Raw genomic sequence first — 19370 nt, forward strand, 5'->3', positions numbered from 1 at the left:
AACAGGAGATCCTCAAATAGCTAAAGTGATATTGAACAGGAACAAAAAAGCCAGAAGGATCACACTTTCCGATTTCAACCTATATTTCAAAGCTGGGCATGGTGGTGTGCATTTGTAATTCCAGTGACTCAGGAGGCTGAGGTGGGAGGATCAATTGAGCCCAGGAGTTTAAGGCCAGCCTGGGGAACACAGAACCCCAAATCTTTTTTAAAAAACTATATTACAAAACTATAGTAATCAAAACAGTATGACATTGGCATAAAAACAGATACATAGACCAATGAAACAAAATAGAAATCCCAGATATAAACTCATGCACATAAGGTCAATCAAGCTTCAACAAAGGTGCCAAAAATACATGATGGGGAAAGAATAGTCTCTTCAATAAATGGTATTGGGAAAACTGGATATCTACAAGTATAAAAATGAAATTGGACCCTTATCTTACACTGTACAGAAAAATCAAATCAAAATGGATTGAAGACAACATAGGACCTGAAGCCATAAAACTCCCAGAAGAAAACATAAGAACTTGGTTCTATCCCTCTCCTCCTCTGTCTATTCTACCTTCTGGGTAATTGCAAGCAGTTCCTTTACTTCAATACCCTCTGAATGTCAATGACCACCTCAGTGAGCCTCAATATGCTTCAGACTCATAGATCCAAGCATATCCTTGGCATCTCACATTTGATATGGTCCAAAAAATTATTTCTTTAACCTCTCAGTGAATGATAAATCCATCAAACCAGTAATTTTAATCAAAAGTATAGGATTTGTCCTTGATTCCTCTATTTCCTATACATCTACAGAAAAAGTTATTTGAGGGCTCTACCTCCAAACTGCCTCTCCCTTAGTCCCCTTTCCTCCTTCTTCAGGGCTGTTGCCTGAGTCTTTATCCTGCCAAGTGAGCCCTGCATGGCAACTACCCTCTCCCTCCACCACTATGATCTAATATCAGGACTTTTCACTTGCTACTACTTCTGCCCAGAGCATTCTATACCTGACGCCTTAATTGCTGGCTTCTTTCTGTCATTTATGTCTAGGATGTATTACTGCCTCTTTTAAGACATCTTTCCTGAACTCATTCTCCTCTGTAGATATTCTCTATCCTATCACTGTTTTATTTTATTTATCTGAAAGCACTATATTTACTTACATTTTTATTTGCTTATTGTACGTCTTTCTCCTATTGAATGTAAGGTCCTTGACAACAGGAATCTTGTATTTCCTTTCACTATTATGGCACCTTGACACAGAGTAGGGAATGAATGAGTGAATGAATTATTTAATTAATGCCTCAAATTACATAAGTTAAGAAATTTGTGTTAGAACGTTTTGGATTTATAGAAAAACATTTTGGATTTACAGAGAGTTCCTATATAATATACTCCACACCCAGTTCCCCCATTATTAATATCTTAATTAGTATGGTACGGTTGTTAAAATTAATGAACCAATACTGGTATAGTGGTTTGTTTTGTTTTGTTTTGAGACTTAGTCTCCCTCTGCTGCCCAGGCTGGAGTGCAGTGGTGTGATCTCAGCTCACTGCAAGCTCCACCTTCCGGGTTCACGCCATTCTCCTGCCTCAGCCTCCCAAGTAGCTGGGATTTGTAATCCCGGCTAGATTTTTGTATTTTTAGTAGAGATGGGGTTTCACCGTGTTAGCCAGGATGGTCTCGATCTCCTGACCTCGTGACCCACCCGCCTCGACCTCCCAAAGTGCTGGGATTACAGGGGTGAGCCACCGCACCTGGCTGATATCGTATTATTAACTAAAGTCCACAGTTTATTGATACGTGCTTAGTCTTGACCTAGTATCTCATATATGGTTAGTCTGTGTCCCACCCAAATCTCATCTTGAATTGTAGATCCCATAATTCCCACGTGTTGTGGAGGACCTGGTGGGAGGTAATTGAATCATGGGGGCAGGTCTTTCCCCTGCTGTTCTCCTGGTAGTGAATAAGTCTCACTAGGTCTGATGGTTTTATAAAGGGGAGTTCCCCTGCACATGCTCTCTGACCTGCTGCCATGCAAGATGTGACTTTGCTCCTTCTTTGCCTTCCACCATGATTGTGAGGCCTCCCCAGCCATGTGGAACTGTGAGTCAATTAAACTTCTTTCCTTTATAAATTACCCAGTCTCTGGCATGTCTTTATTAGCAGCCTCTTTTTTGTTCTGGAATCCCATTCCGGATACCACATTTCATGTAGTTGTCGTGCCTCCTCGCCCCTTTTAGCTGTGATTGGTTCTCAGACTTCCCTTGTTTTTGATGACCTTGACAGTTAGAGGAGTACTTGTCAGGTATTTTGTAGAATGTCCCTTAATTTGCATTTGTCTGCTGTGATTCTCATGATTTGACTGTGATTGTGTGTTTTGGGAGGAAGATCATGGCAAAGTGCCATTCTCATCAAGGTATGATCTAACACCATCATGACTTATCACTGTTGATGCTTACTTGACCTCTTGGCTGAGGTAGTGTTCATCAGGTTTCTCCACTAAAAAATTACTTTTATTTCCTGTTTTCACACCATAATCTTGGGAAAGAAGTCACTGTGTGCAGACCACACTTAAAAAGGGGAATGTTACTCACTGCATACTTGACAGTGAAGAATCTACATAAATTATTTGGGATTATTCCACATGGGAGATTTGTCTGTTCTCCTCCATTTATTTATTTAGTCAAATCATTATTTATATTAGTGTGGATTCATGGATATTTATTTTATACTGTGGGTTATAATCCAATACTACTTTATTTAGTTTGCTGCTCAAACTGTTCCAGCTTTGGCCTTTGAGAGCTCTTTCCAGTTGGCGCCTGTGACTCTTTGACATACTCCGTTTCTTTGTTTTGTTTTGTTTTGTCCTTTTTTTTAAAGCATTTCTTTACTTTTTAGCCCTACAATGCTCCAGGCTTATCTTATATGTTTCCTCCCCCAGACCAACAATCAGCATTTCTCTAAGGAGCTCTGGTTCCATTGGTCAGAAAATGGTATTAGAAACCAAGATATGGGAACTGGATATTAAATTACCTTTTTAAAAATATGATTCGATGCTGACAGGATGTGTTAAAACTAGAATTTTTATCCATTACTGGTGAAGGAGTAAACGATACAATTTTTCTAGGAAAGCAATTTTTCAATGTGTACAGAGCCTTAAAAATTGTTATATAAATTTTGATATTATAGTCACACATCTGACACTCTAAAATGCAAAGATTTTTTCATATTACTTATAATAGCACAATATTAGAGAAGCCAAACAATATAGAAGGGGTTAAATTTAAAAATAAGAGTCTTGCTCAAAAAGTAAGTTTAAACCACCTTAAATTATTTGTTGTATAAGGTGGAGAAATAAATAGATACACAAATTTATGGATGCCATGGACACATCAGTTTTATGTGAAGGAGAAACAGTAATATTATATATACATACATATATTTGCTTGTGTGTGTGTCATATAATTTGTTTATTTTGTTTTTTAGTTTAGTTTTGTTTTGTTTTGAGACAGAGTCTCGCTCTGTTGCCCAGGCTGGAGTGCAGTGGCACAATCTCGGCTCACTGCAAGCTCCACCTCCCAGGTTCACGCCATTCTCCTGCCTCAGCCTCCCAAGTAGCTGGGAACACAGGCGCCCGCCACCACGCCCGGCTAATTTTTTCTATTTTTCAGTAGAGACAGGGTTTCACCGTGCTAGCCAGGATAGTCTCGATCTTCTGACCTCGTGACCCACCTGCCTCGGCCTCCCAAAGTGTTGGGATTACAGGCATGAGCCACCGGGCCTGGCCTGTTTATTTTGAAATATATGTATTATAATTTGTTTACATGGAAACATGTTTAAAAATGGAAGGAAAATTTCTAAAATATTCATAGTTATGCTCTCTAGATGACAGGATTATATTATGTTTATTCCATTTCTTTATATTTTTCTGTTTTCAAGTATTATTTTAAATATGGGTACTTAGAATCCTAAAAAAAATACAAAGTAATTTTATCATTTCGTATAGCTATGTAGCAGGAACATCTAAATAATTATTGCTGGCTATTCATAGTTTATAGACTGATTTACCCAATCGCTGAAGGGCACCATGATTTCTTGACAGTAAGCCCCTTGTCTGCAATAGAGGAGGGGGGCCTTAACCACGAGATGTTTCTCCCCAAATCACACAGCAAATTGGTGGCAGTAATCGAACTCTTTACAGCACGGGGCACTAGAACACACAGGATGAAAGGTTAGGCAGTCAGAACTCCTCTGGATTGATTAGTTTTGTCATTCTTCTCCCAGCCTTGCTAACGTCTCAGAAATGGATGCACTTTCCTGGGTCATAGGGAGGGCTGGGGAAAGGAGAAGATGAATCTCAAAGTATTGCGGGGAGTGAAGCATGTTGAAATTACAAAGTCAAACAAACTTGCCTTTCAGATGATGGCAAGGTGGGTAATTAATTCACATGGGACTTTGAGTTCTGGATTTGTTTTTCTCTTATGTGAATCTTGGTTTGTTTTGGTGAAGTAAGTAATAATTTTGTGTCGTTTTCCCCAGCTACAGAGCTAGGTCACATGACCCAAAGTTTTACCAAAAGCAGCACTTTTATTCTGTAAAGTTGCCAAGGCAACACCAGCTGCTTATGACATCATGTGACTGAGGGGACACAGACTGATTTTAGAAGCCTAAAATTATCACTCAATCTGCTCACCAAAATTCTGAAACAGCCAAGACGGCCCCAAGCCCAAGGAAAGGCTTCAACAACACTGTTCTGTGAAAATGATGATGGCAATGAATTATGCATTGTTCTCTAAAGTCTGGTACCACGGCCTCAAATCACATACTAAAAACATACTCAAGATCAACATAAGCTGGGCATGCAGGACACACCTGCTAATCTGTTTTCAATTAAAGTTTTCCCATCACCATGATGGATAAAGGTAATTTTTAGCTTTCGTTAAATGAACTTTAAGATTTAAAATCTATTTTTATGTACGTCAAAATTACATCTCAAATTATTCTAACTCAAGATACACCGAAGATAAAAATTAGGAAGAACATTTTGTTTTTCTATTATCATATATAATTATACAGTAATTAGAGATGTATTCGCATAATTGTTTCAATATTTTTATAATAATAAGCAACAGTCCGTGGACCATACTAAAAGTCTAAATTTTACGGGTTCCCAGAGAGGATTAACTACATAGACAGATTCAAGAGAACCATAATATAATTCAGAATTGATCATTTTTCAGGCATTTAGAAGCAGGGAAACTGGTCTCAACCTTATGTCATCCCCTCCCAAAAAAACAAATAAATTAGAATGGAAAGTAAAAATTGGACTAACTGGATTATGTTGCCCAGGGCTCACCCCTTTTTGCTCTCAAAAAACTCACTCTTAAATAAAGATGGTTGCATTGCAATTTATACTTCTACTGGCAAAATGAGTGATATTGTTCCTAAAGGAAAATATCCAGAATATAAATACTTCTTGTAAAAAGAAATACTTCCCTGATCTTTGTAGTTCATTTCGCAATCATTAACAGATGATCTCCTACTAAGTGCAGGCCAGTGTGCACTATACTAGGTTATATCGAAATAACGAGGTGGATTAAAAGTCATCCTTTCCTCCAAGGAGATAAAATAAAGACACACGTAACTAAACGAAGATATAAATAACTAAAACTAAAAGCAAAAGAGCCATGGGAACACAGAAGCAGCAAAGATCCCTTGTGGCTCGAAGGACCGGGGGACTTCACGGAAAAGTTGGCATTTTGAAATTGCACCTTGAAGGATGGGTAAGTCTTTAAGAAGTTGATTAGGGAAGGTCATGCTAAGAAGAAAACAGCTTAGGCAAAGATCAAAGGAGGTAAGGGGAGAGCTTGGTTGGGAGGCAAATATATTTAGGAAACTGATGGAGTATAAGAGTAAAACATAGATTGGGACCACATCCTAGCAGAAGCTGATACCATTCTGAGGAGACTGGACTTGACTCTGAGAACAGAAGGAAGTCACTGAAGATTTTAGGCAGAAGAATGACATGTACTGTAGGAAGATGTATTTGGGGACTGTCCATTGAATGAAGGGTGACATGGGAGCAGGTTGCATTGAAATTCTATCAGGGGCCCGTGGAAACAATGGTGGTAAGAGGCAATGCGGATGGGAGCTGGGCGAGGAGAATGAGCAAACAGATGGACGTAAGGCACACGTGAGGGCGTGATTGGCAAGACGGGGTAGCCAGCTGCATGTGCGTGGGCGGAAGGGAGTATTTAGAGACAGTCCCTTGAAATGTGTTCTCAGAAGTAGAATTGCTAATTTAAACGCAATTTGATCTAAATCAAAATGTCTTCACCTGATATATAAAATCAATCTCTCCCATTTCTAATTTTGGGATATCTGATAGGAAAGAACAAAGGATCATGAAAATTCATGCAGTGGCCTTCACCATTATATCATCCTCTCTTTTTCTGCTTTTCTCATGTGAAGTAATTAAGTGCTAAAAGCAGGAAGGTAAACTGAGGCTGGTGCCAAATGAACTGTTGTGCCAGAGAGCTGATTAGACACTAGAGGGAAGTGTATGAGGGGCACGTGTTTCCCCATCTTGTTTCTGAGCATGAGTCTCTGGTTTCTACACCCAGTTCTGACAGCACACGACACTGACAAAAATTCTTTCCTTGACCAAACTCCTGCCAGGCTCCTCGGAGCCCTCCTCTTGATGAGGCCTCAACCTCGGCCTATAAAGGGATTGAACATACACTAACACAGTTTCTAACCGCTCGAGGCTGTTAGGATGACCTAGACTGCCTTCTTGAGAAAACTCATGGCTGCCAAAGCAATGGACTGTTTGTTCCAGCCATCACCTGAAGATAGATACCCTGTCTCCTAGCCTCTGCGCAAGGGTAGGAGCCTGACTTCAATAAGCGCCAGTTAGCAAACCCAGAGGGGTTTCACATGGACTAACTCCAAAGCCCCTTCCTGCTTTTTGTAATTGTTCACTTCCCTGACTCTACTGAGGCCCCACACTGCCCTATCCATATGCCTTCATTTCTCCCTTTAAAATACCCAGTCACCTCCGAATAAACTAAAGCTGAGGTCAGTTCACATGGGACTCTTTTCCCAGTTGCAATAGTGGACCACAGGTTACAATCTGCCCTTGCCACTTCAACCCAGCATCCAGCTTTGGTTATCTTTGACAACATCTGTCTGAGGCTTTGCCTCGACCTCCCCTGTCTATAGTGCCTCAGGCCCATCCCCCAATGCCCCAGAGTCATGGGAAAAAGCCATAGCAATGAACTCCGATTCAACAAACTCAGACCTAGATGGTGCCATATCAATATGTGTCTCCAAAAAAACCAAAACAAAAAAGCACTCTAGTGCTTAAACAAAGTGAACAGGTTTTCTTGATTGAAGATTTTCTCAGAGCCTTTATAGTGCTATTATACTCTGTGAATTTCCAAAAGGGAGATACAGTATATACTACTTTCCAAACTTGTTTGACTATAAAACCCTTTTTCTCAGGACTTTTTGAAGGTCTATGGATTGATAGGAAAAATGTTAGGAACACTGTATCCCACATTACCGCTTCCTCCTCCCTTCTACCCAACACGTTCTCGTGTTCTATCAATCCCTCCAAAATGTTGAAGTTCACTCACCAGCAAAGCACTATGCTAGTATTTTTGAAACTAAATAAGCAGGTGGTCACTGCTCTCTGTCCCATTTATATCTCTTTTGTAAACCCAGATTAATGAATCTTTAGCCTTCAAGCCACTTTCCTAACAGAATCTTTATTCTGCAAATTGTTCTCTGGTAAACACATGCGTATTTAGAAAGATGTATACAGCATGTATCAAGAACAGCATATGTTGGCCGGGCACAGTGGCTCACGCCTGTAATCCCAGCACTTTGGGAGGCTGAAGCAGGAGATCACGAGGTCAGGAGATCAAGACCATCCTGGCTAATATGGTGAAACCCGTCTCTATTAAAAATACAAAAAAAAAGGTTGGGCATGGTGGCTCACGCCTGTAATCCCAGCACTTTGGGAGGCCGAGGTGGGCAGATCCCCAGGTCAGGAGATCGAGACCATCCTGACTAACATGTTGAAACCCTGTCTGTACTAAAAAAATACAAAAAATTAGCCGGGCATGGTGGCGGGTGCCTGTAGTCCCAGCTACTCGGGAGGCTGAGGCTGGAGAATGGCATGAACCTGGGAGGCAGAGCTTTCAGTGAGCCAAGATTGTGCCACTGCACTCCACACTCCAGCCTGGGTGACAGAGCAAGACTCTGTCTCAAAAAAAAAAAAAAAAAAAATTAGCCAGGCATGGTGGCGGGTGCCTGTAGTCCCAGCTACTTGGGAGGCTGAGGCAGGAGAATGGCGTGAACCCGGGAGGTGGAGGTTGCAGTGAGCCAAGATTGCGTCACCACACTCCAGCCTGGGCGACAGAGTGAGAATCCATCAAAAAAAAAAAAGAACAGCATATGTTTATATGTTTTACACTAAAGCTGAATCCACTTCAAGATCATCAGCCATTCATTATGAATAGGTAAGTAAAAAAGGTAAACCAAATATTAAATATCACTGGAAGCAAAAATATATAATAATCTGGGTTTAAGCAAACTGCAGACCTTATGGCTCACAATGTAGACATCTGAAAATGAGAACCTGAAAATGCAAAGCCATTTTAACACATTATTTAGTAAGTTAGTTTTCAGAAACTAAGATGTACACCTCCTTAGCAGTCAGTAAACATATTTTTTCCTTATGAAACCAGGCTATAAATGGCTAGTGTGGATAAAATGAAAGCATTTGGTGAAGTCTGTCTCTCTTGGGATTTCTGCTTAACTGAGGAATACATTATATTCAGATATTTCCTCAGACATAAATACCATCTTGATTAAGACATAAAGTTCCCTGGTTACACATCATGGAAATGGACTTTGGACTCAGACCATCACCAGTGATGGCCGATGTGTTTAGGGTAAAGCTTTGTTTGCAGAAAGAGCCATAACTTGAGCATAAATTATGCGTTGGAGTCACCACTCCAATTTGCCTATTTTTTGTTAGAAACTTTATGTGAAATTTGAGGTTGAGGGATAGGGGTTAGAATTGGCATCTTAGGCTGGTTTCCCGCAGTGCACCCACAACAAGGCTGCTGTGGACAAAGGCCTCAGAATCTGGCTTCCCGGAGTGTGGGTGGAGCTGAGCTACAAGTGCATGCCCAGTACCAAGTGGGGTCCACCAAGCTTCCATAACTAGAACCCTATGTAGACAAACCCCTCAGCTTCCAGAGACTAAATGCTAGAAAGCTTAAGCATTCCATGAAATGAAACCAGCAACCATAGCTTGGAAAGTAATACAGGCAAAAGCTCAAGAATAGAGATCATAATGTGTCCTAATGGGTCAACTCATAGCTCCAGCTCTTGGATTCTGTGGAACAGGATAGATTTCCAAGAGCTGGAAGGCACTGCTGAAAGGTAAAGATAGAGAAGGAATGGGAATGACCTGGAAAACGGAGAACCCAAGAGGGCTTGGATCCAGAAAAGGATTGCCCAGTAATCCAGGCCTTCCCAAGGAGATAGTTTGCTTCTCTCCTTTTCCAGAGTCCTTCATGACCAGAAGCTCTCCTGTTAGCTACCATGCCTTGCTCCTGTTTCTTATCATTGTCTGTGTCTCAGCACAACCATTGTTGGGTTTTTTTTTTTTTTTTTTTTTTGAGACGGAGTCTCGCTCTGTCACCCAGGCTGGAGTGCAGTGGCGCAATCTTGGCTCAGTGCAACCTCCGCCTCCCAGTATCAAGTGATTCTCCTGCCTCAGCCTCCCGAGTAGCTGGGATTACAGGCGCCCACGACCATACCCGGCTAATTTTTGTATTTTTTAGTAGAGACTGGGTTTCACCATGTTGGCCAGGCTGGTCTCGAACTCCTGATCTTGTGATCTGCCCTCTTCGGCCTCCCAAAGTGCTGGGATTACAGGCGTGAGCCACTACGCCCAGCCCACTGTTGGCTTTTGACTACCACGAATTCTGGCTAGGGAGTTTCTGAAGGTGTCAGAGGTTGTCACAGATCAGGCTTCCCTCCTTCTGATCATAGAGTGATGGTTCCACCATTCTCCCAGCTCATGACCTAGAACTCAATTCCAGAGTTTCCAACTCCTTCTCCAAATATAATTACCCGTAAAACTTTGAAACTCTCCTCATTGTCCTTCATACCCACAAGACATACCACTTCCTGTGCTCCCAACCTTTCTTGAAAATACTGCTTATCACACTAGACTCTGAGACTTGTGAGATCAAGCCCATGTCTAATTCATCTTTCTAATTCTGGCTCCTGGTACAGTGCCTGACTCATGGTTGACTTAGGGATGTTTGGTTGAAGAAGTATGATCCGGCCAACTTTTCTGTTACATGTGTTTCCTCCCTTGCTTTATATTCCTGCCAACACCTTCATCATCTTTCAGCTAGACACTCAATAATATAATGATTAACGTTCAGATAGAGAATGCTGTGAAGGAAATAATGTATAATAAGAAGACCGAAGCAAGAGGTGGAAGGGAGGTACCATTTTAGATGAAATAGTCAAAGATGTCTCTGAGGAGATGACATGTGAGCAGAGATACAAACAATGAAAAGAAGAGAGGCATGTGGTCATCTGGCTGGGGAGGCATTCCAGAGGGAAACAAGAGGAAAGTTAAGGTCCCTGAGGTAAGGATGAGTATGTCCTGTTTCAGAAAGAGCAGGAAGGCCAGCCTGGCTACAGTATGGTAAACTGGAGGAAGAGGAACAGATAAGGCTAAAAAAGTCGGCAGGGTCTAGATCCTGTCTTTGTAGGTATGTCAGGAAATTTGGATCTTAAGTGTAATGAGAAGCCATGGCATGTTTTAATTAGGGAAATTAGGTCATCTTAAGTTACTTACTTCAAAAAGTTACTCTAGATGCTGTCTGCAGAATGGATTAAAGGGGACAAGAATGGAGAAATACCTGTTAGGGAGTGTATGCAGAAATTTAGGAGAGGTGATTATGGATTGTTCTTGGGAAGAAAGAGTGGAAAGAGAAGTGGTTGGCTAAAAACTAAATTTCAAAAGAAATTTATTAAAAAAAAAATAAATTTTCCAAGACCAAAAAATGTGTTAGTAGATTGGATATGGGGGATGAGGAAACCAGAAGAACCAGGGAGGACTCCCATGCCTTAGGTCTTGGGTAAAAGGTGGGGCCATTAGGCCATTACCTGAGATGGAGAAGACTAGGGGAGGGGCATTCTTTACAAGGTGAATGGGGTAAGAAGCCAATGGAAGGAAAATCTATTTAGGATAAAGTGAAAGTGTCATGTGGGCAATTAGATAGCATGCATCTGGAGCTTAGAGAATAGCTTGGAGAAGTCCTCAGAATGTAAATTTTTGAGCCGATAGTGTATAGAAGGTATTGAAATCCATAGAGCTAGAAGAGTTCAATGCAACATGTTTTACAGTCATGATCTATTCTTTGGCCATGAGCCACTCAGGCCATAGTGCATTAATGGGATTATTTTTACACCTTAGAACAGTTTGTCTTTTACACCTACCTCATAATCCTTTTAAAAAATTATTAAACTTTAAGGAACACTTGGAGAAAATGGGATAAAAGCAAGAGGAGCAAGAACCTCAGGAATTCATATGGCCTTTATTGAGGCAACACCAGAATGCACTGTCTACTGCAAAAAGAAGCAAGCAAAGTTGTAGAAATTCTCTAACAGGTGTGGCTCAGGCCAAATTGTCTTGGCAGGAGCAACAACAGCAATGACCCAGGAAACAATGCCAGTAATTCAGAGCCAGGGACAAGCCAAGCAGATGCTCTAGAACCTCTGCGTCTACCAATCTCTTAGTCTAGGAATATCCAGTTTCCCTAGACCTTCTCCATCCAGACCCTTGGGAATTTTCAGCAGCAGAATTTATTCTCTTCAATCACAGCCAGGCCTGGGATGCCCCAGTTCAAGCATTCCACCAGGGGTTCTGGCACCCATGGACTTCATTTTAGAGTCTGAATGTTTCCTTGAGTCCAAAGTGCACCCTTTACTGCAGACCCCTTTAGTGACCCCCATATCTCTCCCTACTGTTTCCTGCCATAATACTTTGGCCCCAAGGTGGGACTGACTCTCTGGATGAGAAACATCAGAGCATGGAGACATTTCTGAATTTACAGAAGAGTCAGTCCTCTGAAATGTCCTGTGGATACCTTAGGGAAATCACAAAAAACACTATGACAACAGAATATGTTTCTGAGACTCATTCATGTTGTTGGCAAAAGCTATAATTCATTCATATTTATCTCTGTAGAAATAAAATTCTACAGCCAGAAACAGAGAGAAATTCTGTTCTTAATCTTTAAAGTCCATCAGAATTATCTGAAAGGCTTCTTAAAATGTAAGTTCTGAGTTCTGAGCCCCACTCTTATAGTTCTTATTCACTGGGTCCAAAGTGAGATTCAAGAACTTGCATTTCTAACAAGTTCCCAGGTGATGCTGATGTTTCTGGTCCATGGTCCATGCTTTAAGAACAACTTTTATAAAGTGTTTCATTATGTGACAATACAACAACTTATTCATTTTATTATGATGGACACCTTCGCTGTTTTCAATTGGGGGCTATTATAGTGTTTCCATGAATATCCTTGTATATGTCCTTTGGTTCACACATGTAACACATTTCTGTTGGGTCCTCAAGAATTGCTGGGTCGTATATGTTCAACTTTGATAGATACTACCAATGGGTTTTCCAAAATCGTTTAATTCATTTTCATTCCCACAGGCAATAAATATTTGAAAGTTTCTGAAACTCAGGATTCCTACCAACATTAGGCTTGTGAAGCTTTTACATTTTTGCCAGTCTGGTGACTGCATGTGTAATTTTCATTGTGGTTTTAATTTTTCATTTCCCTGACGACTAATGAGGTGGAGGCCTTTAATATGTTTATAGGACATTAGAATTTCTTTTTACATGCAGTGCCTCTTTACGTTTTTTAACCCATTTTTCTAACTGACTTGAATGGGTTCTTTATACATTTCAGATACTAGGTCTTTGTCAGTTATATGTGTTGCGAACATTTTCTTCCATTGTGTAGCTTGTCTTTTCACTCTTTACAGTATCTGTTTATGAATAGCATTTCTTAATTTTAATGGAGCCTATTTCAGTGTTTCTCAGACTCCCTGTGGTAAGGGACCTATTTTTTTTCCAAATCAATTGAGGACTGATATTTTTGAAAACACACAAAAAAATGCATAATGTAAACATGAAAAAAATTAAAGGTATTCAAAAACCTTAAGCATTTTATTTTCAAGTAATGTGTTCAAGAGACCTATCCCTAAGCCTCACCCAATTTTCTGACAATCCTGTGCTCGAGAATAAAACTCAGGCATCAGAGTGGAGACGTTGACATTTGTACTTAACAATTAAACAAAAGAACGACAAACTACCAAGTATTTTCATTGCAGGATAAAGGTCACAATAGACATCCTTACCTTGCTCCCCTACTCTTTAATTTTCTCCCACTCTGTTCTTGACCTTCGTTCTATTTCTGTCCCCATTCATAAGCCTCTATCTTCCTTGAAGAACATAGATGGTTAAAGTCATGATGTGGTAAATGTACCTGTACACATGATACTTAGTAATAAAAAAAAAAGAATTTAAGGTTTTAAAGTACTGTCAAAATTTCCTCACAATTTTTTTCTTAAATCTGAGACAAAATGTCATGTTGACTAGGTGAGTGTTATACTCACAGTACAGCTTGATTTTAGCAGAGCATTTAAAAACTCTTCAGTAAGATATAATTACAGATAAAATGGTGCAATAAGAGCAGGAAGACTGCACTGTTAGGTCATAGAAAAGGGAATATTTCAGCAATATTATTATATAAAAAGAAATTCAGATGTGATGGCTGACTTAATTGATGTTACCTTTACCTTCTCCTTTGTTAAAGGGACTTCAAAGAATGATTTTGTGGTTCATGGCTTCTGCATCTATCTCCCCCTGACTGTAAGCTTCTTGAGGACAGGAATTATTTCTTATTCACCTTTGCAGTAGATTTTTTTTATAGACAATCTTTAACAGATTATGACATTTTCTTCTATTTCTAATTTGTTAAAAGTTGGCCATGGGAGAGCAAAGCAGGATCGCAGAATAGGACTATCCAGTGATCGTCCCCACCAGAAACATCAATTTGAACAACTATCCACACATAAAAATACCTTTATAAGAACTAAGGAAGCCAGATGAGAAATCATAGCACCTGGTGATAGCATAATAATTTTAAAAGATGCATTAAAGATATAGGAAGAACAATTTTACAGTACCCACATCACCCCTCCTCCATATCTAGGCAGCACAGCAGAGAGAGACCTATCATTCACTTGGAGGAGAGGAAAGTAAACATAAAACTTTGCTTTGGACACCAAGACCAGCCCTGCCATGGTAAAACCCAGCACCAGGCAGTCCCTACGGCCCCTATCTCTAGGCCAGTGACAGAGCCTATAGATCCACTCCAACACAGGATAGGAACCTATAGCCACTGCAAGATGAACTCAAGTCCTGGCTTGCATCAACACTAGTCAACTACAGTGGCCCAGGGCTCTGAATAACCCACAGTAACAGACAGGACTCAGCAGCCAAGGACTACAGACATGCCCCAGTGTTGCACTAGTCTCAGTGGCTGTAGGCTTTGGGTGTGCTCAGTGTGTGCCAGCCTTGGCAGCCACTTGATTCTAGCCCAGCAGTGCACTTGGCATGGCAGTCCAGGTCTTAGGGCAACCCCCTAGCACAGCAACAGCTACAGCAGTTATGGGCTTAGGGACTACACCAGATAATCGGCCCAGAATCTCTGAAGAAGCTTACTGCTAAAGGACATTCCCAGATAAAGCCAGGCTGTGAAGACTGGAATAAATACCTACTTAAATGCACAGAAATCCGTACATAACCGCAAGGAACAACCAGGGAAATGTGACCTCACCAAATAGACAAAATAAGGTGCCAGTGACAGACCCTAAAGAGATGGAGATGTATTAATTGCCTGGCAAAGAATTTAAAATCGCTATTTTAAAGATGCTACTGAACATCAAAAAATACAGAGAAACAACTCAGTGAAATTAGGAAAGCAATAAGTGACTAGAATGAGAAACTTAATAAAGAGATTAAAATAATTTTAAAAAATCAAACAGAAATCCTGGAACTAAAAAATACAGTGAACAAGATGGAAAATGCAATTGCACCAACAGCAGAACTGATCAAGCAAAAGAAAGAATCTATAAACTTGAAAACAGGTTATTTGGAAATATATAGTCAGAAGAGAAAAAGAATGAAACAGAAGAAAGTTTATGGGATTTATGGGATAGCATCAAAAGAGCAAATATACAGTTCATTGTGTTCAACAGGGAGTAGGAAAGGATAAAGGAGTAGAAATCTTATTTAAAGAAATAATACCAGAAAACTTTTCAAATCTGGAGAAAGATATGAATATCCAGGGACATAAAGGCCAAACACCTCCCATCAGATTTAATCCAAATAAGACGATCTAAGACATATTATAACTAAAAGGTCAAAGATCAAAGAAAAAGAGAGGATCCTGAAAGTAACAACAGAAAATAAGCAAATAACATATAAGGGAGTTCCAATCCTCCTAGTAGCAGCAGAAACTGGACAGGCCAGGAGACAGTAGGATACTATATTTAAAGTGTTAAAGGAAAAAAACCTGCCAACCAAAAATACTGTAACTAGCCAAGCTATCCTTCAGAAATGAAGGAGAGATAAAGATGTTTCTAGACAAACAAAAGCTGAGGAAGTCCATCACTACCACACCTGTCTTAGAAGAAACCCTAATGGTAGTCTTCAGACTGAAATAAAAGGTTGCTGATGAGTAACATGGAAACATCTGAAAGTCTAGAACTCACTGGTAAAAGTAACTACACAAGCAAATTCAGAATACCCTAATATTGTAATGATGGTGTGTAAATCACTTAACTTTTTAGTATAAAGGTTAAAAGACAAAAATTATTAAAAAACAAAAATAATTACAATAATTTATTGAGAGATATGCCATATAAAAAGATGTAAACTGTGTCATCAAAAATTCAAATGGAGAGTGGGGTTAAAGTGTAGAAGATTTGTTTTTTGCAATCAGTTGTTATCAGCTTAAAATAACCTACTGTAAGACGTTTTTGTAAGCTTTGTTGTAATCACAAAGCAAAACCTGTAATAGATACACTAAAAGTAAAAAGCAAGGAATCAAACATACTACTAGAGAAAATCATTTAACCACAAAGGAAGACAGTAACAACAGAAGAAATCATTTACAAAATAACTAGAAAACAACTCAATGACAGTAGTAAGTCCTTACCTATCAATAAGTACCTTGAATATAAATGGATTAAATTCTCAAATCAAAAGACATAGAGTGGCGGAATGAATTTTTTTAAAAAGACCCATATATGTCTGCCTACAAAAGACTCACTTCACCTGTAAGTGGACACACACAGACTGAAAGTGAAGGAATGAAAAGATATTTGATGCAAATGGAAACCAAAAGAGCAAAAGAGTAGAAGGAGTTATACTTATATCAGATAAGTAGATTTAAAGTTATTTGTAAAAAGAGACAAAGAAGGTCAGTATATAATGATAAAGGAGTCAATTCAGCAAGAGGATATGACAATTGTAACTACTGCACCCAACATCAGAGCACCTAGATATATAAAGCAAACATTACTTTGAAGGGAGAGACAGACTGTAATACAATAATAGTAGGGGTCTTCAACACTCCCATTTTAGCAATGAAAAGATCATCTGACAGAAAATCAACAAAGAACTATCAGATTTAAACTGCACTCTAGACCAAATAGACCTAGCAGACATATACAGAACATTCCATTCAACAGCTGCAGAATACACATTCTTCACAACAGCACATGGAACATTCTCCAAGATAGATCATATGTTAGGATCACAAAACAAGTCTTAACAAATTTAAGAAGACTGAAATCAAATATCAGGTATTCTTTCTGACTACAATGGTATAAAACTAAAAATCAATAATAGAAGGAACTTTTAAAAATTAACGAATACATGGAAATTAAACAACATGCTCCTAGAAAAACAATAGGTCAATGAGGAAATTCAAAGGAACATTTTTAAATATCTTGAGACTAATGAAAATGGAAACACAATGTATCAAAACCTGTGGCATACAGCATAAGCAGCTCTATAAGGAAAGTTTATAGCAACAAATGCCAACATCAAAAAGGAAGATCTCATACAGCCTAACACTGCACCTCAAGGAACTAGAAAAATATGGGCAAACTAAACCCAAAATTAGTAGAAGGAAGAATATACTAAAAATCAGAGCAGAAGTAAATGAAATACAGAATAGAAAAAATAATACAAAAGATAAACGAAGACTTGGGTGTTTTTTTGAAGATTAACAAAATGAACAAACCTTCAGCTAGGCTGAGAATAAAAGAAGACTCAAATAAATAAGAGATGAAAAAAGAGACAATTGATACTACAGAAATACAACAGATTTTAAGAGACTATTATGAACAACTATATGCCAACAAAATGGGTAACTTAGAAAAAATGGAAAAATATTAGCCGCATACAACCTACTACAATTGAATTATGAAGATACAGATCTGAACAGAACAATAACAAGTAAGGAGATTGAATCAATAATAAAATGTCGGGGGGGGAGGAGCCAAGATGGCCGAATAGGAACAGCTCAGGTCTACAGCTCCCAGCGTGAGTGACGCAGAAGACGGGTGATTTCTGCATTTCCATCTGAGGTACCGGGTTCATCTCACTAGGGAGTGGCAGACAGTGGGCGCAGGTCAGTGGGTGCGCGCACCGTGCGCGAGCCGAAGCAGGGCGAGGCATTGCCTCACTTGGGAAGCGCAAGCGGTCAGGGAGTTCCCTTTCCGAGTCAAAGAAAGGGGTGACGGACTCACCTGGAAAATCCGGTCACTCCCACCCGAATATTGCGCTTTTCAGACCGGCTTAAAAACCGGCGCACCACGAGATTATATCCGGCACCTGGCTCGGAGGGTCCTACGCCCACGGAGTCTCGCTGATTGCTAGCACAGCAGTCTGAGATCAAACTGCAAGGCGGCAGCGAGGCTGGGGGAGGGGCGCCCGCCATTGCCCAGGCTTGATTAGGTAAACAAAGCAGCCGGGAAGCTCGAACTGGGTGGAGCCCACCACAGCTCAAGGAGGCCTGCCTGCCTCTGTAGGCTCCACCTCTGGGGGCAGGGCACAGACAAACAAAAAGACAGCAGTAACCTCTGCAGACTTAAATGTCCCTGTCTGACAGCTTTGAAGAGAGCAGTGGTTCTCCCAGCACGCAGTTGGAGATCTGAGAACGGGCAGACTGCCTCCTCAAGTGGGTCCGTGACCCCTGACCCCCGAGCAGCCTAACTGGGAGGCACCACCCAGCAGGGGCACACTGACACCTCACACGGCAAGGTATTCCAACAGACCTGCAGCTGAGGGTCCTGTCTGTTAGAAGGAAAACTAACAAACAGAAAGGACATCCACACCAAAAACCCATCTGTACATCACCATCATCAAAGACCAAAAGTAGATAAAACCACAAAGATGGGGAAAAAACAGAACAGAAAAACAGGAAACTCTAAAACCCAGAGCGCCTCTCCTCCTCCAAAGGAACGCAGTTCCTCACCAGCAACGGAACAAAGCTGGATGGAGAATGACTTTGACGAGCTGAGAGAAGAAGGCTTCAGACGATCAAATTACTCTGAGCTACGGGAGGACATTCAAAGCAAAGGCAAAGAAGTTGAAAACTTTGAAAAAAATTTAGAAGAATGTATAACTAGAATAACCAATACAGAGAAGTGCTTAAAGGAGCTGATGGAGCTGAAAACCAAGGCTCGAGAACTACGTGAAGAATGCAGAAGCCTCAGGAGCCGATGCGATCAACTGGAAGAAAGGGTATCAGCAATGGAAGATGAAATGAATGAAATGAAGCGAGAAGGGAAGTTTAGAGAAAAAAGAATAAAAAGAAATGAGCAAAGCCTCCAAGAAATATGGGACTATGTGAAAAGACCAAATCTACGTCTGATTGGTGTACCTGAAAGTGATGGGGAGAATGGAACCAAGTTGGAAAACACTCTGCAGGATATTATCCAGGAGAACTTCCCCAATCTAGCAAGGCAGGCCAACGTTCAGATTCAGGAAATACAGAGAACGCCACAAAGATACTCCTTGAGAAGAGCAACTCCAAGACACATAATTGTCAGATTCACCAAAGTTGAAATGAACGAAAAAATGTTAAGGGCAGCCAGAGAGAAAGGTCAGGTTACCCTCAAAGGGAAGCCCATCAGACTAACAGCGGATCTCTCGGCAGAAACTCTACAAGCCAGAAGGGAGT

The 19370-nt window shown here is 40.3% G+C and overlaps 1 long non-coding RNA gene across 1 annotated transcript in view, besides 1 other annotated feature; it reads right to left on the reverse strand.

Annotated features, from left to right (window-relative positions):
• Positions 1-441: 441 nt before the first annotated feature.
• The window catches only part of LOC105370922 (uncharacterized), a 35800-nt gene continuing 16871 nt past the window's right edge, over positions 442-19370 (reverse strand). The window contains exons 3-4 of the long non-coding RNA XR_932529.2: positions 13468-13609; positions 442-1246 (exon numbers count right to left, since the gene is read on the reverse strand). This is a non-coding gene — a long non-coding RNA (uncharacterized LOC105370922). The remainder of the gene's footprint in view (positions 1247-13467; positions 13610-19370) is intronic.
• Positions 18030-18688: an enhancer, noted in NCBI's record as "OCT4-NANOG-H3K27ac-H3K4me1 hESC enhancer chr15:82287863-82288521 (GRCh37/hg19 assembly coordinates)". NCBI's record gives its function as "activates a minimal SCP1, AML or CMV promoter by ChIP-STARR-seq in primed H9 embryonic stem cells {active_cell/tissue: H9 hESC(primed)}" and the evidence as "EXISTENCE:reporter gene assay evidence [ECO:0000049][PMID:30033119]".

Source organism: Homo sapiens, chromosome 15 (genome assembly GCF_000001405.40).
Source record: "Homo sapiens chromosome 15, GRCh38.p14 Primary Assembly".
NCBI lineage: Eukaryota > Metazoa > Chordata > Mammalia > Primates > Hominidae > Homo > Homo sapiens.